The sequence below is a fragment of the Homo sapiens genome, chromosome 4 (assembly GCF_000001405.40).
Source record: "Homo sapiens chromosome 4, GRCh38.p14 Primary Assembly".
NCBI classification, from domain to species: Eukaryota; Metazoa; Chordata; class Mammalia; order Primates; family Hominidae; genus Homo; species Homo sapiens.
Window position 1 is genome coordinate 83,157,386 of NC_000004.12, and position 25,369 is coordinate 83,182,754.

The window sequence follows — 25,369 nt, forward strand, 5'->3', positions numbered from 1 at the left end:
AGTTCCATAACAGCCTTATTGCTTATTTTGACTGCTTTTAAATCTAAATGTTATTTTCCAAACTTTCCTCCCAGACACTGAGTCCTCTGAGGACCAAATCGGAACAGAGCAAGAAAAGAAAAGGGTCATTCACTCAAAATCTTTTCTTGTAGTAACTTGGCTTCATTTTGGTATTGTGCATAATTACAAAGCCAGAGGGAGTTTAATATAAATTTATATGAGGCGAAAGTAATTAAGAAGGGAACCGATTAGGTGAGAATCTCCAATGGTAAAACAAAAGACCTAAAACCATAGAGATACTTGCACAGCCCTGGAAGGGCATTTGTAGCTTGCAGAGGAAGTGAGTGGTACTTTCTTTCCTTCTTTTTTTTTGAGATGGAGTCTCACTCTGTTGCCCAGGCTGGAGTGCAATCTCAGTGCACGCCAGTGCAGTGGTGTTATCTCAGCTCACTGCAACCTCTGTCTCCCAGGTTCAAGCAATTCTCCTGCCTCAGCCTCCTGAGTAGCTGGGATTACAGGCACCTGCCACCCTGCCTGGCTAATTTTTGTATTTTTAGTAGACATGGGATTTCACCATGTTGGCCAGGCTAGTCTTGAACTCCAGATCTCAAGTGATCCACCCACCTCGGCCTCCCAAAATGTTGGGATTACAAACGTGAGCCACCGCGCCCAGCCTATTCAATTTCAGTAAAAACAAATATGTGCCAAGAATCTCCCTGACCTCTTCGGAGGTGTAAGAAAAACATCTTATTTAGGGCTAGGAGCTGGAGAAGTCCAAGCACGTGGTCAGAGCAAGTTTTATTTTTTCGGATTTCACCCTCCCTGCCCCTCCTCTCCCCGCAAAAAGCTAGTAGAAATAGAATTATCACAGGGTTCAGGAGAAATTGGGGGAAGGATGATTGGAGGGCATGGAATTCTTGTCTAGAGGTAGGAAGTAGAGAATTCCAGGCAGTGGAAATATTTTGAAGAAATGCCTAGGGAAAGAATGTGTGCGATGCATGAGGAACAGTAAAAACAACTTTTTGGAGCAGGAGGCAGGATTGCAGTGCAGGAAAGGCAATGTGTGGCAGGCACACCTCAAAATCTCCTTCCCCTACACACAGTAGATGTTGCTAATTGATTCCAGAACATTCCTGCTGTATATATCTTAGAATCCTTCACAAGACAGTATATGGAATGCTACTACCATTTGATCAGGGTTGGCACATGATATGAACTCCATCTATTGTCTGAGAAATATTTATAAATAAAAATAAATTGTAGAGGTAATGTGTTATCCAATTCTGAATGTTACATATATACAGTTGAACCTCCATATCCATGGGCACATCTGTGAATTCATTCAGCTGCAAATAGAAAATATTTGGGGAAAAAAAACCCAGTACAACAGTAAAAAATAATACAAATTAAAAAACCCAATATTGTATAACAACTATTTACATAGTATTAGGTATTATAAGTAATCTAGAGATGATTTAAAGTATTTGGGAGGAGGCTGGGTGTGGTGGCTCATGCCTGTAATCCCAGTACTTTGGGAGGCCGAGGAGGGAGGATCACCTGAGGTCAGGAGTTCAAGACCAGCCTGGGCAATATGGTGCCCAACCCCGTCTCTACTAAAAATAAAAATATAAAAATTAGCTGGGCGTGGTGGCACATGCCTGTAATCCCAGCTACTCGGGAGGCCAAGGCAGGAGAATTGCTTAAGTTTGGGAGGTGGAGGTTGTAGTGAGCCGAGATTTGCGCCACTGCACTACAGAGCCTGGGCAACAGAGTGAGACTCCGTCTCAAAAAAAAAAAAAAAAAAAAAAAAAAAAAAAGAAAGAAAAGAAAAAAAGAAAAAATAAAGAAATACCTGAGGCTGGGTAATTTATAAAGAAAAGAGATTTATTTTGGCTCGTGGTTCTGCAGGCTGTATGAGAAGCATGGTGCTGGCATCTGCTCCTAGTGAGGGCTTCAGGAAGCTTTCAATCATGACAGATGGCAAGGCAGGAGCATATCACCTGGCAAGGGAGGAAAGAAGAGAGCAGAGGGAGGTCCCAGACTCTATTAAATGACAAGATCTCATGTGAACTGAGACAGAACTCACTCATCACCAAGGAGATGGTGTTAAGCCATTCATGAGGGATCTGCTCCTATGATCCAATACCTTCCACTGGGCACACCTCCAACATTAGGGATTATATTTCAATATGAGATTTGGAGGAGACAAACATCCAAATCATATCAATTTGTAAACCAATACCTATATATGTATCAAAATCTACACAGAGCTGCCGCTGCTGCTGCTGTGTGGATGGGTGTGTATCATTAAAGAAAGAAAAATGTCGCAGTAAGGATATATTTTTAACAGAAAATTGCTTCTTTAATAAAAATAATGCTTTGGGGAGAAACATCAGCATAGCCAATCAAAATTAGTTTATCCAACATATCAAAATGGAAAACTATGCTAAAGTTCAAGAGATCTGTCTCAGTCAATTTTCTGTTGCTTATAACAGAATATCTGAAACTGGGTAATTTATAAAGAAGAGAGGCCGGGCATGGTGGCTCACGCCTGTAATCCCAGCACTTTGGAGGCTGAGGTGGGTGGATCGTGAGGTCAGGAGATTGAGACCATCCTGGCTAACACGGTGAAACCCTGTCTCTACTAAAAATACAAAAAAAAAAAATTATCCGGGCATGGTGGCTGGTGCCTGTAGTCCTAGCTACTCGGGAGGCTGAGGCAGGAGCATGGCATGAACCCAGGAGGTGGGGCTTGCAGTGAGCCGAGATTGTGGCACTGCATTCCAGCCTGGGGGACATAGAGACTGTGTCTCAAAAAAAAAAAAGAAAAGAAATTTATTTCTTACAGTTATGGAGGCTGAGAAGCCCAAGGTGGAAGAGCTGCATCTGGCGAGAGCCTTCTTGCTGGTGGGGACTCTCTGCAGAGTCCCAGGGCAAAATGGCCCAAGGCATCATATGGTGGGGGAATGAGCACGCTCTCTCAGGTCTCTCTTCCTCTTTGTATAAAGCCACCAGTCCTACTCCCAAGATAACCCACTAATCCATTCATGAGGGAGAGCCCTCGTGATCCAATCACCTCTTAAAGGTCCTACCTCTCAATTAAGGATTAAGTTTCAACAGGAGTTTTGGAGGGGACATTCAAACCATAGCCAACTTCCAAAGCTAAAAATTCCTCTGGGGGCAAATACTGTGTTTTAAATATTCTTTCAGTGGTTTATAACTGTTTGCATAGCTCTGGACACATATGCTTGTTGTGTAGAATAATTTGGAACAAGGATAAAATATGTTGTGTTTGATGTAGAAAAAAAATACCAGTGAGTAAGTTTTGAGAAGTTCTGATATAAATCCTGGAATGGGCATATGTTGCAATTGCTATATACAAAAATCCCTTCTAGCCAAGTGTATACTATGTATCAGTTAATTCAATTCCTAATTTAACACAGGGACTCATGTCATCTGCTTTTAAATCTCTACATTCCATTACTTAAAATAAAATGTTTAGAGGTATGTTTTGAAAACACACTAGGATATATGTGTGTGTAGATATATAGATATAGATATGTGTTTCTCAACAGATTTTGCACTTCTGTATGTCATACATAGATCTATGCTGAACATCAATATAGATCAGTGGTGTTAAGTTATAATGTGCACAGGACTCATCTAAGTATCCTTCTAAAATGTAGATCCCATCTCAGTAGGTCTCGAGTGGGTCCTGAGATTTACCTTTCTAATAAGTTCACAGTTGGTGCCAATGCTGATGGTCCCTGACCCTTGCTTTGAGTAGCTAGGGTCTAGGTCACGGTTTGGATGTATGGAGACAAGCAAACCTGGGTTCAAATCTACTTTCCACTCTCTGTGTGTCCTTGGACAAGTAAATTAACTTCTCTGAGGCTCAGTTTTGTTTTGTTTGTTTGTTTGTTTGTTTGTTTTGAGACAGAGTTTCGCTCTTGTTGCCCAGGCTGGAGTGCAGTGGCATGATCTCGGCTCACTGCAACCTCCGCCTCCCAGGTTCAAGCGATTCTCCTGTCTCAGTCTCCTGAGTAGCTGGGATTACAGGCATGCGCCACCACGCCTGGCTCATTTTGTATTTTTAATAGAGACGGGTTTTCTCCATGTTGGTCAGGCTGGTCTTGAACGGTTGACCTCAGGTTCTGCCCACCTCAGTCTCCCGAAGTGCTGGGATTATAGGCCTGAGCCACTGTACCCGGCCTGAGGCTCAGTTTTGACATATTTAAAGTGAGTGTAATACAACTTGTCTCATTGGGTTGTCATATTAATGTGATAAGACTATGTCAGTTAAGCATTGTCCTTCCTCTTGACACATACACCATTGTCTCTCTTTCAAATGAAATGTGGCTAATAGCAGGGCCTGATTTCATGATAGGGAAAAGTGTTGAGAGCACCGAACCCAGAAGGATAATGATAGTGTGGTGGTGTAGGCTGGCCAATGGGCTAGGCTTGGATTTTAGTCATTGCTCATATTTGGGAGGCTCAAATAAGATTATGTCCATGAAGATATTTTGAAAACTGCAAATCACTGCAAGTACAAGAGAATCCAAGTACTAGTGAAAGTCAGTGGGAAAAAAATGTCAGCATGATATGTTGCCAGTATAATGACAATGGCTTACACTTGTGTAGACCGGTTTGCTTTACAAAGCATTTTTGTATGCTTCATCTCTATTTAACATTAATCTCTATTTAATAGTCACAGCAGACCAGAATATCTAGGAAGTTAAAACTGATTAAACTCTTTTTACTGCAGACAAGAAAACTAAGGCAAAGAGGTTAAGTGACAAGGCCAAGTAAAAATCATGATTGCTACTCCAACCTCTTTATTTTATAGATGAGTAAATGAGGCTTGTCTCAAAGTGTTGGCCCTTCATTCTCTTCCCAGTCTCTGCAGGGAAAATACATGAATAATGCGTCACAGAAAATGTTACAAAACCAAAAGATCAGAAAGTGGACCTAACTGCACAGTCTAGTGGGTAAGAGCATGGATTCTGGCCTTAGACTCCAGCTTTCCCATTGACTAGCTGCATCACCCTGGAAAAGTGACTTCAACTCTCTGTGCCTCAGTTTCCTTGTCTATGAAAATGAGATGCTAACAGTATCCAGATTTTTAGGCTGTCAGGGGGATTAAATGAATTAATATTTTAAAAGCCCTTAAAATGGTGCTTGGCATATGGTATCTCATGAATATTAGTTACATAAATGTAGTACTTGGCCCTGGAGGGAAAACCAATAGTATCCCTAGTATCCCACTCCCTTTATGTTCTCCTAGATATTGTAGGATATGTGTACCTGTTCTACAAGGCTGTGGAAAGAAGGAAAAGAAGCAGAAAGTAAGCTACATATCTCAAGTGACAGAGTGGCAAGGCTGGAATTTGAATTCAACTCAGTGGAACCCGAAGCCTTCATTCTTCTTTCCACTGAACTCCCAGACATGAATTCTAAATCTTGGCCAGCTAAAATGGGCAAGCCTTGCTCAGGAATAAAAGGTAAACATTTTCTTAGAGTGTCCTTGCCAAAATTTTGGGAAGGGAAGCTAGACAGTATGTGACTAACTTTGCTTTCTCTTTATGTATTTATTGAGTTACTTATTTGTTTTTGATATCTTGAAATGAATCCTCAAAAACTTGACCTAGAATTATATAATTTAGGTTTAGATCACTGGTTCTCAACCAGAGACCATTTTAACCTCCAGGGACATTGAGATTGAACATATTTTTGGTTTTCACAACTGGGGGAAGGTTGCTACTAGTATCTAGTGGGTAGAGGCTGGGGTGTTGTTAAACATCCCACAGACACACAACAGCCCCCACAACAAAAAATCATCCAGCTCAAAATATCAACCAGGTTTAGAGAACATCAACAGCATCATGGATCATGAGCACGAAGGGAGGAAGATTCTAAAAGTTGTCTAATCCAGTTTCCCACCATACGTAAATTCTCTCTACAGTAAGTCTGAAAAGCAATCACTGTGAAGGATAAACACAATACCTTGCTTCTTAGTTCAAAGTATTAAAAATGCAAGTCCTAGAACTTAGAACTCATTATGTGAACCTGGTGTCCCTACAGATTTACTCACATCTTGTTTGGAACTTCCTCTTGTGTGTGCAATTCCTGTTGGGTTCTGCACCCCCACAACCTATCTTTTTTCTCTTCCCTCTGCTTATTGTTCCTATGTGGACAGTTTGACCTATCCAATTCTACTACTTTTTTCTATTAATTAATTTATTTATTTATTTGAGATGGAGTCTTGCTCTGTCACCCAGGCTGGAGTGCAGTGGCACGATCTCGGCTCACTGCAAGCTTGGCCTCCTGGGTTCACGCCTTTCTGCTGCCTCAGCCTCCTGAGTAGCTGAGACCACAGGCACCTGCCACCATGCCCAGCTAATTTTTTTTGTATTTTTAGTAGAGACGGGGTTTCACCATGTTAGCCAGGATGGTCTTGATCTCCTGACCCCGTGATCCACCTGCCTTGGCCTTCCAAAGTGCTGGGATTATAGGTGTGAGCCACCACGCCTGGCCTTTTTTTTTCTATTTAAATAAACCTTTAATTGAAGTGTAATATACATACAGTAAAGTGCAGAAATCAAATGACCGATTAATTTTCACAAAGTGAACAATTCTTGTAACCACAACATGATTCAAGAACTAGAACACTGGTGAAGTCCAAGATGGCCGAATCGGAACAGCTCCAGTCTACAGCTCTCAGCGTGAGCGACGGAGAAGACAGGTGAGTTCTGCATTTCCAACTGAGGTACCTGGTTCATCTCACTGGGGCTTGTCAGACAGTGGGTGCAGGACATTGGGTGCAGCCCACAGACCATGAGCCAAAGCAGGGTGAGGCATCACCTCACCCGGGAAGTGCAAGGGGTTGAGGAATTCCCTTTTCTAGCCAAGGGAAGCTGTGACAGACGGCAGCTGGAAAATTGGGTCACTCCCTCCCTAATACTGTGCTTTTCCAACGGTCTTAGCAAACAGCACACCAGGAGATTATATCCTATGCCTGGCTCAGAGGGTCCCATGCCCATGGAGCCTTGCTCACTACTAGCACAGCAGTCTGAGATTGAACTGCAAGTCGGCAGCGAGGCTGGGGGAGGGGCACCCACCACTGCTGAGACTTGAGTAGGTAAACAAAGCGGCTGGGAAGCTCAAACTGGGTGGAGCCCACCGCAGCTCAAGGAGGCCTGCCTGCCTCTGTAGACTCCACCGCTGGGGGCAGGGCATAGCCAAACAAAAGTCAGCAGAAACTTCTGCAGACTTAAGGGTCCCTGTCTGACAGCTTTGAAGAGAGTAGTGGTTCTCCCAGAACGGAGTTTGAGATCTGAGAACGGAAAGATTGCCTCCTCAAGTGGGTCCCTGACCCCCAAGTAACCTAACTGGGAGGCACCTCCCAGTAGGGGCCAACTGACACCTCATATGGCCAGGTGCCCCTCTGAGATGAAGCTTCCAGACGAACAATCAGGCAGCAACATTTGCCATTCTGCAATATTTGCGGTTCTGCAGCATCTGCTGGTGATACCCAGGCAAACAGGGTCTGGAGTGGACCTCCAGCAAACTCCAAAAGACCTGCAGCTGAGGGTCCTGACTGTTAGAAGGAAAACTAACAAACAGAAAGGACATCCACATCAAAACCCCATCTGTACATCACCATCATCAAAGACCAAAGGTAGATAAAACCACAAAGATGGGGAGAAAACAGAGCAGAAAAGCTGAAAATTCTACAAATCAGAGCACCTCTTCTCCTCCTAAAGAACGCAGCTCCTTGCCAGCAATGGAACAAAGCTGGATGGAGAATGACTTTGAAAATTTGAGAGAAGAAGGCTTCAGAAGATCGGTAATAACAAACTTCTCTGAGCTAAAGGAAGATGTTCGAATCCATTGCAAAGAAGCTAAAAACCTTGAGAAAACATTGGATGAATGGCTAACTAGAAAAAATAGCATAGAGAAAACCTTAAATGACCAGATGGAGGTGAAAACCATGGCACGAGAACTACGTGACGCATGCACAAGGTTAAGTAGCCGTTTTGATCAACTTGAAGAAAGGGTATCAGTGATTGAAGATCAAATGAATGAAATGAAGCAAGAAGAGAAGTTTAGAGAGAAAAGAGTAAAAAGAAATGAACAAAGCCTCCAAGAAATATGGGACTATGTGAAAAGACCAAATCTACATCTGATTGGTGTACTTGAAAGTGACAGGGAGAATGGGACCAAGTTGGAAAACACTCTTCAGGATATTATCCAGGAGAACTTCCCCAACCTAGCAAGGCAGGCCAACATTCAAATTCAGGAAATACAGAGAATGCCACAAAGATACTCCTCGAGAAGAGCAACTCCAAGACACATAATTGTCAGCTTCACTGAAGTTGAAATGAAGGAAAAAATGTTAAGGGCAGCCAGAGAGAAAGGTTGGGTTACCCACAAAGGGAAACCCATCAGACTAACAGTGGATCTCTTGGCAAAAACTCTACAAGCCAGAAGACAGTGGAGGCCAATATTCAACATTCTTAAAGAAAAGAATTATCAACCCAGAATTTCATATCCAGCCAAACTAGGCTTCGTAAGTGAAGGAGAAATAAAATCCTTTACAGAAAAGCAAACGCTGAGAGATTTTGTCACCACCAGGCCTGCCTTACAAGAGCTCCTGAAGGAAGCACTAAACATGGAAAGGAACAACCGGTACTAGCCATTGCAAAAACACGCCAAATTGTAAAGACCATTGATGCTAGGAAGAAACAGCATCAGCTAATGGGCAAAATAACCAGCTAACATCATAATGACATGATCAAATTCACACATGACAATATTAACCTTAAATGTAAATGGGCTAAATGCCCCAATTAAAAGACACAGACTGGCAAATTGGATAAAGAGTCAAGACGCATCAGTGTGCTGTATTCAGGAGACCCATCTGACGTGCAGAGACACACATAGTCTCAAAATAAAGGGATGGAGGAAGATCTACCAAGCAAATGGAAAACAAACAAAAAGCAGTGGTTGCAATCCTAGTCTCTGATGAAACAGACTTTAAACCAACAAAGATCCGAAGAGATAAAGAAGGCCATTACATAATGGTAAAGGGATCAATTCAACAAGAAGAGCTAACTATCCTAAAAATCTATGCACCCAATACAGGAGCACCCAGATTCATAAAGTGAGCCCTTAGAGACCTATGAAGAGACTTAGACTTCCACACAATAATAATGGGAGACTTTAACACCCCACTGTCAACATTAGACAGATCAACGAGACAGAAAGTTAACAAGGATATCCAGGAATTGAACTCAGCTCTGCACCAAGCAGACCTAATAGACATCTACAGAACTCCTCACCCCAAATCAACAGAATATACATTCTTCTCAGCACCACATCACACTTATTCCAAAATTGACCACATAGTTGGAAGTAAAGCACTCTTCAGCAAATGTAAAAGAACAGAAATTATAACAAACTGTCTCTCAGACCACAGTGTAATCAAATTAGAACTCAGGATTAAGAAACTCACTCAAAACTGCTCAACTACATGGAAACTGAACAACCTGCTCCTGAATGACTACATAACAAAATTAAGGCAGAAAAAAAGATGTTCTTTGAAACCAATGAGAAAAAAGACACAACGTACCAGAATCTCTGGGACACATTTAAAGCAGTGTGTGGAGGGAAATTTATAGTACTGAATGCCCATAAGAGAAAGCAGGAAAGATCTAAAATTGACACCCTAACATCACAATTAAAAGAACTAGAGAAGCAAGAGCAAACACATTCAAAAGCTACCAGAGGGCAGGAAATAACTAAGATCAGAGCAGAACTGAAGGAGATAGAGACATAAAAAACCCTTCAAAAAAAGCAATGAATCCAGGAGCTGGTTTTTTGAAAAGATCAACAAAATTGATAGACCCCTAGCAAGACTAATGAAGAATAAAAGAGAGAAGAATCAAATAGATGCAATAAAAAATGATAAAGGGGATATCACCACCAATCCCACAGAAATACAAACTACCATTGGAGAATACTTATATAAACACCTCTACACAAATAAACTAGAAGATCTAGAAGAAATGGATAAATTCCTGGACACATACACCCTCCCAAGACTAAACCAGGAAGAAGTTGAATCCCTGAGTAGACCAAAAACAGGCTCTGAAATTGAGGCAATAATTAATAGTCTACCAACCAAAAGAAGTCCAGGACCAGATGGATTCACAGCCGAATTCTACCAGAGGTACAAAGAGGAGGTGGTACCATTCCTTCTGAAACCATTCCAATCAATAGAAAAAGAGGGAATCCTCCCTAACTCATTTTATGAGGCCAGCATCATCCTGATACCAAAGCCTGGCAGGGACACAACAAAAAAAGAGGATTTTAGACCAATATCCCTGATGAACATTGATGCGAAAATCCTCAATAAAATACTGGCAAACCGAATCCAGCAGCACATCAAAAAACTTATCCACCATGTTCAAGTGGGCTTCATCCCTGGGATGCAAGGCTGGTTCAACATACGCAAATCAATAAATGTAATCCATCATATAAATGGAACCAAAGACAAAAACCACTTGATTATCTCAATAGATGCAGAAAAGGCCTTTGACAAAATTCAACAGCCCTTCATGATAAATACTCTCAATAAATTAGGTATTGATGGGACATATCTCAAAATAATAAGAGCTATCTATGACAAACCCACAGCCAATATCATACTGAATGGGCAAAACTGGAAGCATTCCCTTTGAAAACTGGCACAAGACAGGGATGCCCTCTCTCACCACTCCTATTCAACATAATGTTGGAAGTTCTGGCCAGGGCAATCAGGCAGGAGAAAGAAATAAAGGGTATTCAATTAGGAAAAGAGGAAGTCAAATTGTCCCTGTTTGCAGATGACATGATTGTATATCTAGAAAACCCCATCATCTCAGCCAAAAATCTCCTTAAGCTGATAAGCAACTTCAGCAAAGTCTCAGGATACAAAATCTATGTGCAAAAATCACAAGCATTCCTATACACCAATAACGGACAGAGAGCCAAATCATGAGTGAACTCCCATTCACAATTGCTTCAAAGAGAATAAAATACCTAGGAATCCAACTTACAAGGGATGTGAAGGACCTCTTTAAGGAGAATTACAAACTACTGCTCAACGAAATAAAAGAGGACACAAACTAATGGAAGAACGTTCCATGCTCATGGATAGGAAGAATCAATATTGTGAAAATGGCCACACTGCCCAAGGTAATTTATAGATTCAATGCCATCCCCATCAAGCTACCAATGACTTTCTTCACAGAATTGGAAAAAACTACTTTAAAGTTGATATGGAACCAAAAAAGAGCCCTCATTGCCAAGATGATCCTAAGCAAAAAGAACAAAGCTGGAGGCATCACAGTACCTGACTTCAAACTATACTACAAGGCTACAGTAACCAAAACAGCACGGTACTGGTACCAAAACAGAGATATAGACCAATGGAACAGAACAGAGCCCTCAGAAATAATACCACACATTTACAACCATCTGATCTTTGACAAACCTGACAAAAAGAGGAAAAGGGGAAAGGATTCCCTATTTAATAAATGGTGCTGGGAAAACTGGCTAGCCATATGTAGAAAGCTGAAACTGGATCCCTTCTTTGCACCTTATACAAAAATTAATTCAAGATGGATTAAAGACTTAAAGTCAGACCTAAAGGCATAAAAACTCTAGAAGAAAACCTAGGCAATACCATTCAGGACATAGTCATGGGCAAGGACTTCATGTCTAAGACACCAAAAGCAATGGCAACAAGAGTCAAAATTGACAAATGGGATCTAATTAAACTAAAGACCTTCTGCACAGCAAAAGAAACTACCATCAGGGTGAACAGGCAACCTACAGAATTGGAGAAAATTTTTACAATCTACCCATCTGACAAAGGGCTAATATCCAGAATCTACAAAGAACTTAAACAAATTTACAAGAAAAAATCAAACAACCCCATCAAAAAGTGAGTGAAGGATATAAACAGACACTTCTCAAAAGAAGACATTTATGCAGCCAACAGACACATGAAAAAATGCTCACCATCACTGGCCATCAGAGAAATGCAAATCAAAACCACGATGAGATACCATCTCACACCAGTTAGAATGGCGATCATTAAAAAGTCAGGAAACAACAGGTGCTGGAGAGGATGTGGAGAAATAGGAACACTTTTACACTGTCGGTGGGACTGTAAACTAGTTCAACCATTGTGGAAGACAGTGTGGCTATTCCTCAAGGATCTAGAACTAGAAATACCATTTGACCCAGCCATTCCATTACTGGATATATACCAAAAGGATTATAAATCATGCTGCTATAAAGACACATGCACATGTATGTTTATTGCGGCACTATTCACAATAGCAAAGACTTGGAACCAACCCAAATGTCCATCAATGATAGACTGGATTAAGAAAATGTGGCACATATACACCATGGAATTCTATGCATCCATAAAAAAGGATGAGTTCATGTCCTTTGTAGGGACATGGATGAAGCTGGAAACCATCATTCTCAGCAAACTATTGCAAGGGCGGAAAACCAAACACTGCATGTTCTCACTTATAGGTGGGAATTGAACAATGAGAACACTTGGACACAGGATGGGGAACACCACACACTGGGGCCTGTTGTGGGGTGGGGGGAGGGGGGAATGATAGCGTTAGGAGATATACCTAATGTTAAATGACGAGTTAATGGGTGCAACACACCAACATGGCACATGTATACGTATGTAACAAACCTGCATGTTGTGCACATGTACACTAGAACTTAAAGTATAAAAAAAAAGAGAAAAAAGAACTAGAACATTGCCAGCACCCTAGAAGTTGTCTCTCCCCTACCTCCATCATAACCCCTTCACCGTCTTCAAAACTCTCCACCCAGACTTTACTTCTACTGTGTCTTCTAACACAGGAGGCTGGTTTTGCCTGTGTTTGAACCTTATGTACAGATATATTAAGTACTAGATTAATTATAGATTATGTTTTCTTTTGTGTCTGACTTCTTTTGCTCAAAATTATGGTTGTGAGAGTCAGCCACATTGAGTGCACAATAACTCATTCATTCTTATTGCTGTATAATATTTTATTATATAAATATACCACTACTTATTTATCCATGCTATTTTTGCATCATTTCCAGTTTGGACTGTTATGAATAGCATAGTGCTGCTATGAGTTTTCCTGCACTATCTTTAGGTGGGTATATATATATATATGTATTTCTGTTATGTTTCAACCCAGGAGTGATATTTTGGGGTTAATATTCCGGAGCAGTGGTACTGTTACCTGCAAGAAGTCCAGGTGTGCTATGCAGTCCTCAATTTTTATCTTCTTGGGAGAAAGAACTTGGCCAAGAGACAGAAGTAGATTTAAGTCAGAAATGAGAGTTTACTGAAACAAGAGTACACTTGGAAGAAACCAAGTAGGCAACTCAAAAGATTGAGTTCCTCACCTGATCACTGGCTCAGGAGTCTTATAGATTTACTATTTCCTGTCTTTCCGCCCCCACATCTCTTCTTCTTGTCCCTGGCTCTGGGTGAGCTGTTGGCTACTCACTGCATGTGCAGTGTCTTGCCAGTATCTGGGAGGGGCTGCATGCGCCCTTTGGTGGTTGAAGTTATGCACATGCTCTCTTAGGGCAATTTCCCTTACCAGTCTAGAGCCCCAGAGGAAGGTCATATATGTGTCAAACTCTGTCATTTTGCCCCTTACTACACATGCCTGGACATGCCCCCAGAGAAAGGGCAAACTCCACCATTTTGCCCCTTACTGGGCATGCCTGGACATGTCTCCAGAGAAAGGTGCTCCACCATTTTGAGTTCTTATCAGGAAGTTGTTGCCCACAAGTCAAGAAGTCTCCTGTTTGTTAGGAAAATTTCCGCTTCCTGTTGCCAGCCACCTGACAATCACTGGACAGTTGCCTGACATTCTTTAAGGCCCTATCCTGTACTGCTCGTATCTGCCTGTCTACGTACCCTAACAGTAGCAATTTACACTCCCATCAGTAATGTATGAGAGTTCCAGTTGTGCCACATCCTTGCCACTGTCTTGGTATTGCCACCATCTTTCTTTTTACTCAGTGGTTGCTAAAGAAACTGGGAAGCAGGAACCTTGGTTTTAAGTCAAGAAAAAACAGAAATTGTACTTGGATGATTAAATAGAGTTGCCACATGTAGGAAAAAAAAAAACAAACCACAGACTATTCAGTTAAATTTGAATAAATATGTCACATGCAATATTTAAGGCACACTAAAAAATTATTCATCATTTATCTGAAATTCAAATTTAACTGGCATTCTGTATTTTTATCTGGAAACTCCATTGGGTGGGTATGGGGAATGTCTTTGTGACTGATGCTATAACAGTGAATAACTGTTCGCCACATGTCTATGGGAACGGGATATGGTAGAGAGGAAGCAAAAACAATGGAACTTCTGTAGGTTGTGCAAGAAGCCCTCCTCCCAACCCCCAGATGGAGGCCAAAGGACACTAACAGTAGCAGTGATCTATTCAGTCTCTACCTAAAGTCTTAAAAGAGCATTTTCTCTGGGAACACACAATTGTTTATTCATGGATAAAGGAAGAAAAATTGAAATCTCTTGAGATGTTTTTCCTGCCAGATTCCATGTTAAGCAGCCTTATGTATGCTATCAGATTGATCAGATTGCCTTGAGACCATTTTTTCTTCTTCTTTTTTATTTTATTTTATTTTATATTTTTTTGAGACTAAGTCTTACTCTGTCGCCCAGGCTGGAGTGCAGTGGCACAATCTCAGCTCACTGCAACCTTGGTCTCCCGGGTTCAAGCGATTCTTCTGCTTCTGCCTCCTGAGTAGCTGGGATTACAGGTGTCTGCCACCATGCCCAGCTAATTTTTTTTTTTTTTTTGTATTTTTAATAGAGACGGGGTTTCACCATATTGGCCAGGGCCAGGCTGGTCTTGAACTCCTGACCTCAGGTGATCCACCTGCCTTGGCCACTCAAAGTGCTGTGATTACAGGCGTCAGCCACTGCGCCTGTACCTAAAGTCTTAAAAAAGCATTTCCCCTGGGAACACACAATTGTTTATTCATGGATAAAGGAAGAAAAACTGAAATTTCTTGAGAGGTTTCTCCTGCCAGATTTCATGTTAAGCAGCCTTATGTGTGTTATGACATTCTAGCCTTGTGACCACTTTTTCTTCTTCTTTTTTGAGATGAAGTCTCGCTCTGTTGCCCAGGCTGGAGTGCACTGGGGCGATTTCAGCTCACTGCAACCTCTATCTCCCAGGTTCAAGCAATTCTCCTGCCTCAGCTTCCCAAGTAGCTGGGATTACAGGAACCCACCACAGCGCCCAGCTAATTTTTTGTATTTTTAGTAGAGACAGGGTTTCACCATGTTGGCCAGACTGGTCTTGAACTCCCAAACTCAGGTGATCCGCCTGCCTTGGCCTCTCAAAGTGCTGGGATTACAGGAGTGAGCCACCATGCTTGGCTCTTCTATTTTGAAGTTCAATACTTGGAAAACTTAAGCAGCTATGTCAGGCTCAAGGTCAGGTGAGCTATAGTCAACGTCTGTGCTCTTCCATTCTACCAAGTCCCCTGTCTTTTGGAAGGTGCCGAGACCAGCTCAGTTGGGGAGACCCTAACCCAATGGTGCTAGAGGAATTAAAGACACACACACAGAAATATAGAGGTGTGAAGTGGGAAATCAGGGGTCTCACAGCCTTCAGAGCTGAGAGCCCTGAACAGAGATTTACCCACATATTTATTAACAGCAAGCCAGTCATTAGCATTGTTTCTATAGATGTTAAATTAACTAAAAGTATCCCCTATGGGAAACGAAGGGATGGGCCAAATCAAAGGAATAGGTTGGGCTAGTTAACTGCAGCAGGAGCATGTCCTTAAGACACAGATTGCTCACGCTATTGTTTGTGGCTTAAGAATGTCTTTAAGCAGTTTTCCACCCTGGGCGGGCCGGGTGTTCCTTGCCCTCATCCCGTAAACATACAACCTTCCAGCTTGGGTGTTAGGGCCATTATGAACATGTTACAGTGCTGCAGAGATTTTGTATATGGCTAGTTTTGGGGCCAGCTTATGGCCAGATTTTGGGGGGCTTGCTCCTAACTGGAAGTTTTATTCTCAGCAGTTACTATTTATTGACTCCCTGGGGTCTTGCGCTGGGCTCTGTTTTTCTGAGCCAATCTGAGCTATCCAGATGGGATCAGGTAAAACAGCTGAGTAAGTCTCTCCTTGGCGTTCCAGGGCTCTTAATTCCCCCTATTTCCAGCCCCTCCTTTGCCCTCTGTATGCCTCCTTCTGGCATTCAGCCACCTACCAAATAATTCCATGGGTCGCATCAACCCACCAGCCCCTCATTAGAGATTAACCTAATTTCTGGAACAAGAAAGTAAAATAAAGTCAGTGGAAAAGGCCCTACTTTTTGTCACCTGTGTTAGGCCATAGCCAGGGAAAGGATCCCTTCCTCTTTATACATTGAAAGTGGAGAAAGGTTAGTTTCATACCAGTAGTTGGCTTCTGGACTCCTACATCTCCTGCAGCCTCCCAGATCCCTTCAGATCTGTTCCTTTCAAGGACCTCCCTTGTTCTTGAGCTTCTCCAGAAGCCAGAAACCCCACAGTAAGCCCTTTAGTCCTGCAACTGAGTGTGTATTTAGGGCCAATTCCCTCCCCTACTCCCACAGAACCTCTGGGTCTCCCAGAATTCATAAGTCTCTGCATCAGGATAAGATTCTGCCTCATCTACCAATGGTGTCATTTCTGAAATTTTAGCCAAAAGAATGAAAACTCTCAGTTATAAGGAAATTAAAAAATGATTATGTGTAGTTGAAGATATGGCATTTCCTAATTTAAGCTACACAATTTATATAAACAAAGTGTACTCCAAAACATTTTTCTTCATGTTAAAAATGGTGCTCATGCTTGATAATGCTTAAATTAGGAGTCCTCTCAGGAGTATTTGTGTTTTTCATAGCACAAGACTTGGAAAGTTTCTGACACTGGCAAAGTTTAGTTATCCTCCTTTCATCAAGCAAGTCAAAGGGACTTGGCTCACTAAAACATTTGTGAGGGGAAGAGATAAAAAGCAGAGGGTAAACTGGGTCTATCGATGCCTCCATTGTCTTCCATCATTAACCTCTCCAGTAACCTAATTTATTAAGCTTCTTCTCTACTTTTGTCCTATAATTTATTAAACTGGTGTCAGGCATACATGGTTCTAGAGGAAGACTGCCCTTTCACACCCAGACCCTCTATGCGTGCCCTCTGAAGCTCTTCACAATGTGACCTACCCTATTTCTTCAGTCCTTTTGATTTCTACTTCCATAAGTTATCCCATCACTACTCAGCAAGCAGCCCCTCTATATCTATTCCTGCTGTCAGTTACCGTCTCCTGTCTTCCTCTTTACCTGTTAACATCCCATCCCTAGTGCCCATCCACCAGGAAGCCATTTCTAACCTTCCATGTTGGATTTGCCTTTCCCTCCTCTGAACTTGCAAACCCCTTTCCAGATGTGGTGGAGAACCCTCTGGTCTGGCGCTCAGGACACTAGGATATCATTACAGCACTGATACTTGGCTCCCTCTGTGCTTTTTCTCTAAATGACAATGATACTATTTTCACTTCCTCCTTCCCACGGTTATTAAAAATATACAGGAATCTATACTAATAGCAGACATGAGATTTATATACGTGTATTCTGAGCATGTACACCTTTTCTTTTGACTTATTTGTAGGTTTTTTTTGAGGACAGGTAACTGGACCTCAGTCATCTTTGTGTCCCCCAAAGATAATGGCCTACACATAGCCTAGAAAATAGTAGGTGCTCAATACAATTGTATTTATTTATACCAGTGGTTTTCAACCATGGGTGATTTGCACCTCCCATCCGCCCTGCCCCACCCAACCACCACCTGCCTGAGACATATGGCAATGTCTAGTAACAGTTTTAGTTTCTACAATTCAGGGAGATGGCAGAGAATTGCTACTGGCATCTAGTGGGTAGAGGCCAGGGAAGCCGCTAAGCATCCTACAATGCACAGGACAGGCCCTGCCTTCCCTAACTTTCAACAAGAAGTTATTCGGCCCAATGGTGGCAAGGCTGAGAAACTCTGATTTATACCCTTGATCTTAAGGAGATTTGAGCCATTTACAAACTCACATATGCAATAAGATACCAAATGCAAAATGAAGAAATCAGGCACAGGAAAAATAAAGCCTAGAGCAGCTTTAGTGCGTGCTTTAAGGTTCCTATACAATGCTAGACATCACTGCACATTAGACCCTGAGCTTCTGATCAGGCAAAGCAAAGAGGGAACACAAATATTTAGGAGATTGGCCATGTCCATAAAAGACAAACAAATTAAAACCTAGAGAAATTTCTCGTCAAAATGGAGGTGATGCATGAAAAAGAGTGATCTAAGCCTTTAACAGTAGTTCTATAATAACTAGAACAGACATTTCCTAATGTAGGCTTAAAGAGTATGGAGGGATTACAGTATGAGCACTGAAAGTAACGTATGAGAAGCTAAAATGATCCCATCCAAGTACTTATCTGTCTGATAATCTGAGATAATTCAAGATTAAAAATCAGATTTTTAAAGACTTTTTTGATACAGAGTCTTGCTCTGTGATCCAGGCTGGAGTGCAGTGGTGCCATCTCAGCTCACTGCAAACTCCACCTCCTGGGTTCAAGCAATTCTCGTGCCTCAGCCTCCCGAGTGGCTGGAATTACAGGCGTGTGCCACCATGCCTGGCTAATTTTTGTATTTTTAGTAGAGAATGGATTTCACTATGTTGGCCAGGCTGCTCTCCAACAGCTGGCCTCAAATGATCCGCCTGCCTCGGCCTCCCAAAGTGCTGGGATTACAGGTGTGAGCCACAGAACTTGGCCTAAAGATTGTTTAGAGGAGTACAAGGGGGCATGTTCCTTGATAATTCTTCATAAATAGCATTTTTGCCAGCTATTTATGAGGTTTAGTAAGAACTGGGCAGTGGTGAGACTGAGTTAAAAGTCTGGCAAGACCTTGAGTTCAGATTCCCAGCTCAAGCTGCTTATCCATGAGAAGAGGTATGCAGATGGAAAGGTATATAACGTATTGCATTGTTATAAAAATTAAGGAATGGAGTGGGGACACACAGCTGAATAGAAGACCACCCTAGTGTAGCATGGAAGTGAGCTTAAGTCATCTACCTACAGGAAAGTTTGTTTCCCTCAGAAACCACCTCTGGGGCTGCTTCAGCAAGTGACCACATGGCTGATAAAAGTCCCCAAGTTCTGTACCATAGAGCCTGGAAAACTTTTGTAGTAGGTATTACCACCTTCTCCCATGGTAATAAAAGAATGTAACAATACACCTACAGAGTCAAATTTTAAGTACAGAAAGTCCCTCAACTTATATGGGGTGATGTCCAGATAAACTTATTATAAGTAAACAAAATTATTAAGTTGAAAATGCATTTAGTTCAGATAAATTCATCATGAAGTTGGAAAATTGTAAGTGGAATTATTGTAAGTTAGGGACTGTCTGTAATGTAACTTCCTAGTCAATGCTGTAAAGATAAAAGAATTGCAATATGGAACCTTAGATATTATAATAAGTTGATCTTCTAAAAATACTAATTGGCCCTATTCTGCTTCTGAACCATTTGATCTGGTTGTAGAGATTGAGTGAGTGATCTGGAATTGGTATTTTTAAGGCTTCCCAGGTAATTACAAAGTGCAGCCAGGGTTGAGAATCACCACATTAAAGGAAATGATGATTTTTGAGTATTGAATTAGTCCAACTTGAGTCTTTTATACAATAATAAAATACATTTCCTCTCAACTTCAAACTTCATGTACCACTTAAATTTTCTCCCCAAACACGTATAATTTAAAAAAATTAAGCCAAGGGGAACACTCATTCTATGGCATAGAATGAGGTGTTGCTTGGTTCTAAAAATGAATGAATGAATGAATGAATGAATGAATAATATGCTCAATGAAGAAAATCTGAGAATTACCAAAATATCAAAACAAAAAACCTCTAGCAATTCCACCATACAAAGCTTAACTACTTGTGACATTTTCAATGTATGTCTTTCCATTTAATCCATTAAAACAGTAATTAGTGTGTAGGACCAGTTTTTAATGAGGATATTCCCAATTGAGGCAATAAAACCATTTCTCCTGCAATGTGGAGAAGGCTGCTTTCCTTTCTGTTTGTTTTACATGGAGAGCAAGCATTCATCTCTTTTAAAACTGGTATCCAATTATGCTGTAGCTCAGAATTACCTAATTAGTTGAGATGCCCCCACCATGACTCTTGAGTTTGTGTGACAGGGTAGAGTCTGTCTAAGAAAGTCAAGAGTTTGAGTTCATCCCAAGGGCTGAAATACTATTGGTTTAATGAATGAATCTTTGAGTTACCTTAAAAGTCCCAATTTATATGCAGATATCCTAAAAGCCCTCGACTAAAAGTAGGTTTCTTACCTAGGCAATGACTTACTTCCCCAGACTCACGTTTTGCCTTTATTCTGTTTCTTCACATCTTTCTTGGAACTATTTGTCTCCAATAGGAGCTAAACAGAGAGGAATCCCAAAAGGAGAAGAGGGTACCCACCAGCCCCCAGAATTGCAGAGGGCTCAGCTCTAACCATGCTTAGCATGTCTGGTATCTGGCCATGTTCAGAGAATAGTCCTTTAGATGTCTCACATTTAACATCTTGGCTAAAAGAGCCAGAACACCTGTAAAGTGCAGCACTGTATTTTAAATCTCGCTGTGACTCAAATGTGAATTGGAATTGCCTGTTCTTCAAATAATGTGGGCTGAAGATCACTTAGCTGGTGAGAATCCAGCTAACAGCTGCATTCACTTTGGTACAAAATGACTCAAAGGGACTTGGTTGGCCAGGCACAGTGGCTCACACCTGTAATCCCAGCAATTTGGGAGGCCGGGGTGGGAGGATTGCTTGAGCCAAGGATGTTCAAGACCAGCCTGGGCAAGATGGCAAGATCTCATCTCTAAATAAATAAATAAATAAATAATTTTTTAAAAAGGGACTTGGTCAATTTTTTTTCTTTTCTTTTTTTTTTTTTTTTTTTTTGAGATGGAGTCTCACTCTGTCCCCCAGGCTGGAGTGCAGTGGCACAATCTTGGCTTACTGCAAACTCTGCCTTCCAGGTTCATGCCATTCTCCTGCCTCAGCCTCCCGAGTGGCTGGGACTACAGGCGCCCGCCACCACGCCCGGCTAATTTTTTGTATTTTCAGTAGAAACGGGGTTTCACCGTGTTAGCCAGGATGGTCTCGATCTCCTGACCTCGTGATCTGCCCGCCTTGGCCTCCCAAAGTGCTGGGATTACAGGCGTGAGCCACCGCGCCCTGCCTTTTGTTTCTTTTTTTAACTTTTTCAGTGAAAAGTCAACTTTGTTAAATTATTTTAAATTTTGTTTTGCTGTAGATAGGGGAAAGGGTTCCTTTCAAAATGCCAACAACTTGTACTAGGGATGGAAGTCAAGAGAGCTAAGATAGCCTCAGCCATAAAACTGGTGGTAAAAATTTACAGAATGTTGAATTTGGGTGGTGTTTATAATCTATAACTCTAACAAGTCCCAATCTAATATTTTATAAGAAGACTACAAAACTGTTCAGTGAGTGCTCTAGCCAGTATAAATGGATCTCAAAACTTCAATAAACATGCAATTATCTTGTGGCTGTGAAACAGATGTTGATAAATTTCCTTTAGGAAAAGGGCAGCATCCTAGGCAAACACTTGATTATGAAATATTTCTTTTTCCCAAAAGCCTCCAGATGCATTCTTCCCAAACATGGTGTATATTTGGGAAGAGACAGCCATTAAGTGTCTTTGTCTCTGACTTCATTGCCCCACATTTGTCTCTGTCTTCACTCCCCCAAGGAAAACCTGTGTGTTTCCACACAGTGTTACATGCTAACTGCTCAATACAACTGATGGCCACTTCTCAAGTGTCTGCCCAGTCCTCAGGGATTCCTCTGAGTTTTATGAATACCTTCAAGTGCTCTTAGCGTTGTTCTTAGGGGTTAGGTTGTTCTTAGGGTTGGATTTCCCAGGTAACGGAAGCACAGCCTTAGGACACTCAAAAAGCTAGGGCAATAAAATAAAATAAAAATGTGGAAAAATATGTAGCTCCTCCCTCCTCAAGTAAATGTCATCTTTAAGGAAAGTAATCACAATTATATTGGACTTCTTTACACTTATTTACTTATTTACATATGGAAAGTTATAGATGGGTAGCACATCACACAGTGTTCAGTGTGTTTAAGGCTTCTAAAGACATTTGCCTGGTCCTAGTTTTATCTATCTATCTATCTATCTATATCTATATATAGATATATAGATATAGATATAGATATAGATATTTTTTTTTTTGAGATGGAGTCTCGCTCTGTCGCCCAGGCTGGAGTGCAGTGGCACGATCTCGGCTCACTGCAAGCTCTGCCTCCCAGGTTCACGCCATTCTCCTGCCTCAGCCTCCCGAGTAGCTAGGACTACAGGCACCCGCCACCACACCTGGCTAATTTTTTGTATTTTTAATAGGAATGGGGTTTCATCGTGTTAGCCAGGATGTTCTCAATCTCCTGATCTCATGATCTGCCTGCCTCGGCCTCCCAAAGCGCTGGGATTACAGGCGTGAGCCACCGCGCCTGGCTGGTCCTGGTTATATTTTAAGGTCAGTTGTTTTCAGGTCTCTTCCCACTACCCGAGTCTGAGCTACACAGGTACTGGCCAGTCATCTTTTAATCCTACCACAGCACCTGGAGCACAGTAGATGCTCAATGAGCAATTTTTTTTTAAATAAGTGAATGAACAAATGTTTGAAGACAGAACTGTGTGTCTCATGTACACAATTTAGGGGTCTCTATTTTAGACATCTAGACATCAGAAATATTACCTCCGAACCCTGTCCACTTCCCCTAATCAACTATCTTTAAGTGATGTGTTTGCCTTAAAGACTAGGAAGAGGGAGGAAAAAAAGAAGCTTCCCTTTTCCCCTTTTCTTAAATCATGCAAATGAGAAAGGCTAATCCTTCCCTCTAGAGTGAAAATACTGAAAGCTACTTTGGTAATTGTTAGGGACAAGCTACCCCAGGAATCCCCCCAACTTCCCCTTACCCTGAATACTCTGCAGCTGCCTTCCTAAACACTTATCTGGGTGCCACAGCAAAGTTACCAGACATGCTAAGTGGAGCAAACCCTAATTACAGCCATTTGGGCAGCACCGGGGAAGTCGTGGGAAATGTGAACAAACCTTAGTTACACATTCTTGTAAATTCCTGTTTTTCATCTAACTGCCACCTTAAAAGTCAGGGAATGACGTGTTATAAGTCTATTACAAGCTGATGAACTACCTTTGTGCCTGTTACAAGCTAATAGATACTCTTAGCGGTAAAGATAACCGACAAACAACCCCAGGATGCGGTTATACCCAGAAACTCCCTTAAGCCCCTCCGACCCCATATAAACTCCTCATTCTGTGAGTTCAGGGCTGCCTCCTTTGACTGTTAAGGAGCAGCCCAGCAGGTTAATAAACTTGCTTGACTTAGGTCTACTCATCCTTTCTCTCGGCTAGCCTTACAGTAATATTGCCAGTAATAAGAAGGCTACAAATCAGCTAAGAAAACAAGTGGTCAGATGGTAATGATTTCAAAATTGTGTTTGTTATATAAAAACATATATAGAATTAACTTCTGACAACAAAATGGTAATAAACTTCAAAATGACTGAAACAGAAATTATGCCTCCTCCCAGCAAAACTGATGCCAGTAGCAAATCTTGAAACGAATTACAAAATAAGTTTACAAAATAAACTTTCTAGAGGGAATTTGTAATATTCTGTTTAAATACACCACTCTTACTGGTGATACAATGATTTCTTCTTTAATGATTAAAAAAATTGTCTCTTAGGGAAAAAAATGGATCTTGTAACAGCACTTTTTAAAAAGTCACGATACTCACAGGCTCTTAAGAATCACTACTGCCAAAAAAAAAAAAATCTGAATTCCTGCTCTGCCTCTGCCTCTCCCCTCTCCCCTCTCCCCTCTCCCTCTCGGTCTCCCTCTCCCTCTCTTTCCATGGTCTCCCTCTGATGCCGAGCCGAAGCTGGACTGTACTGCTGCCATCTCGGCTCACTGCAACCTCCCTGCCTGATTCTCCTGCCTCAGCCGGCCGAGTGCCTGCGATTGCAGGCGCGCGCCACCACGCCTGACTGGTTTTCGTACTTTTTTGGTGGAGACGGGGTTTCGCTGTGTTGGCCGGGCTGGTCTCCAGCTCCTAACCGCGAGTGATCCGCCAGCCTTGGCCTCCCGAGGTGCCGGGATTGCAGACGGAGTCTGGTTCACTCAGTGCTCAATGGTGCCCAGGCTGGAGTGCAGTGGTGTGATCTCAGCTCGCTACAACCTCCATCTCCCAGCCGCCTGCCTTGGCCTCCCAAAGTGCCGAGATTGCAGCCTCTGCCCGGCCACCACCCCGTCTGGGAAGTGAGGAGCGTCTCTGCCTGGCCGCCCATCGTCTGGGACGTGAGGAGCCCCTCTGCCTGGCTGCCCAGTCTAGAAAGTGAGGAGCGTCTCTGCCCGGCCGCCATCCCATCTAGGAAGTGAGGAGCGCCTCTTCCCGGCAGCCATCCCATCTGGGAAGTGAGGAGCGTCTCTGCCCGGCCGCCCATCGTCTGAGATGTGGGGAGCGCCTCTGCCCCGCCGCCCCGTCTGGGATGTGAGGAGCGCCTCTGCCCGGCCGCGACCCTGTCTGGGAGGTGAGGAGCGTCTCTGCCCAGCTGCCCCGTCTGAGAAGTGAGGAGTCCCTCCGCCCAGCATCCGCCCCATCTGAGAAGTGAGGAGCCCCTCCGCCCGGCAGCCGCCCCGTCTGAGAAATGAGGAGCTCCTCTGCCCGGCAGCCACCCCGTCTGGGAAGTGAGGAGCGTCTCCGCCCGGCAGCCGCCCCGTCCGGGAGGGAGGTGGGGGGCTCAGGCGCCCTGCCAGCCGCCCCATCCGGGAGGGAGGTGGGGGGGTCAGCCCCCCGCCCGGCCAGCCGCCCCATCCGGGAGGGAGGTGGGGGGGTCAGCCCCCCGCCCGGCCAGCCGCCCCGTCCGGGAGGTGAGGGGCGCCTCTGCCCAGCCGCCCCTACTGGGAAGTGAGGAGCCCCTCTGCCTGGCCAGCCGCCCCGTCCGGGAGGGAAGTGGGGGGGTCAGCCCCCCGCCCGGCCAGCCGCCCCGTCCGGGAGGGAGGTGGGGGGGTCAGCCCCACGTCCGGGAGGGAGGTGGGGGGGTCAGCCCCCCGCCCGGCCAGCCGCCCTGTCCAGGAGGGAGGTGGGGGGGTCAGCCCCCCG

At 43.0% G+C, this 25,369-nt stretch overlaps 1 long non-coding RNA gene across 1 annotated transcript in view, besides 4 other annotated features; it reads right to left on the minus strand.

The window, feature by feature from the left end:
* LOC124900167 (uncharacterized) overlaps positions 1–25,369 on the minus strand; it is a 61,114-nt gene that overhangs the window by 17,927 nt on the left and 17,818 nt on the right. The window lies entirely within an intron of this gene.
* Positions 13,167–14,366: an enhancer, noted in NCBI's record as "BRD4-independent group 4 enhancer chr4:84091705-84092904 (GRCh37/hg19 assembly coordinates)". NCBI's record gives its function as "activates an origin of replication core promoter dependent on BRD2, P300/CBP, MED14 and CDK7 cofactors, and independent of BRD4, by STARR-seq in HCT116 cells {active_cell/tissue: HCT116}" and the evidence as "EXISTENCE:reporter gene assay evidence [ECO:0000049][PMID:35650434]".
* Positions 13,640–13,879: an enhancer, noted in NCBI's record as "active region_21679". NCBI's record gives its function as "activates an Ori minimal core promoter by ATAC-STARR-seq in GM12878 lymphoblastoid cells {active_cell/tissue: GM12878}" and the evidence as "EXISTENCE:reporter gene assay evidence [ECO:0000049][PMID:35858748]".
* Positions 17,503–17,552: an enhancer, noted in NCBI's record as "active region_21680". NCBI's record gives its function as "activates an Ori minimal core promoter by ATAC-STARR-seq in GM12878 lymphoblastoid cells {active_cell/tissue: GM12878}" and the evidence as "EXISTENCE:reporter gene assay evidence [ECO:0000049][PMID:35858748]".
* Positions 23,720–24,295: an enhancer, noted in NCBI's record as "H3K27ac-H3K4me1 hESC enhancer chr4:84102258-84102833 (GRCh37/hg19 assembly coordinates)". NCBI's record gives its function as "activates a minimal SCP1, AML or CMV promoter by ChIP-STARR-seq in naive H9 embryonic stem cells {active_cell/tissue: H9 hESC(naive)}" and the evidence as "EXISTENCE:reporter gene assay evidence [ECO:0000049][PMID:30033119]".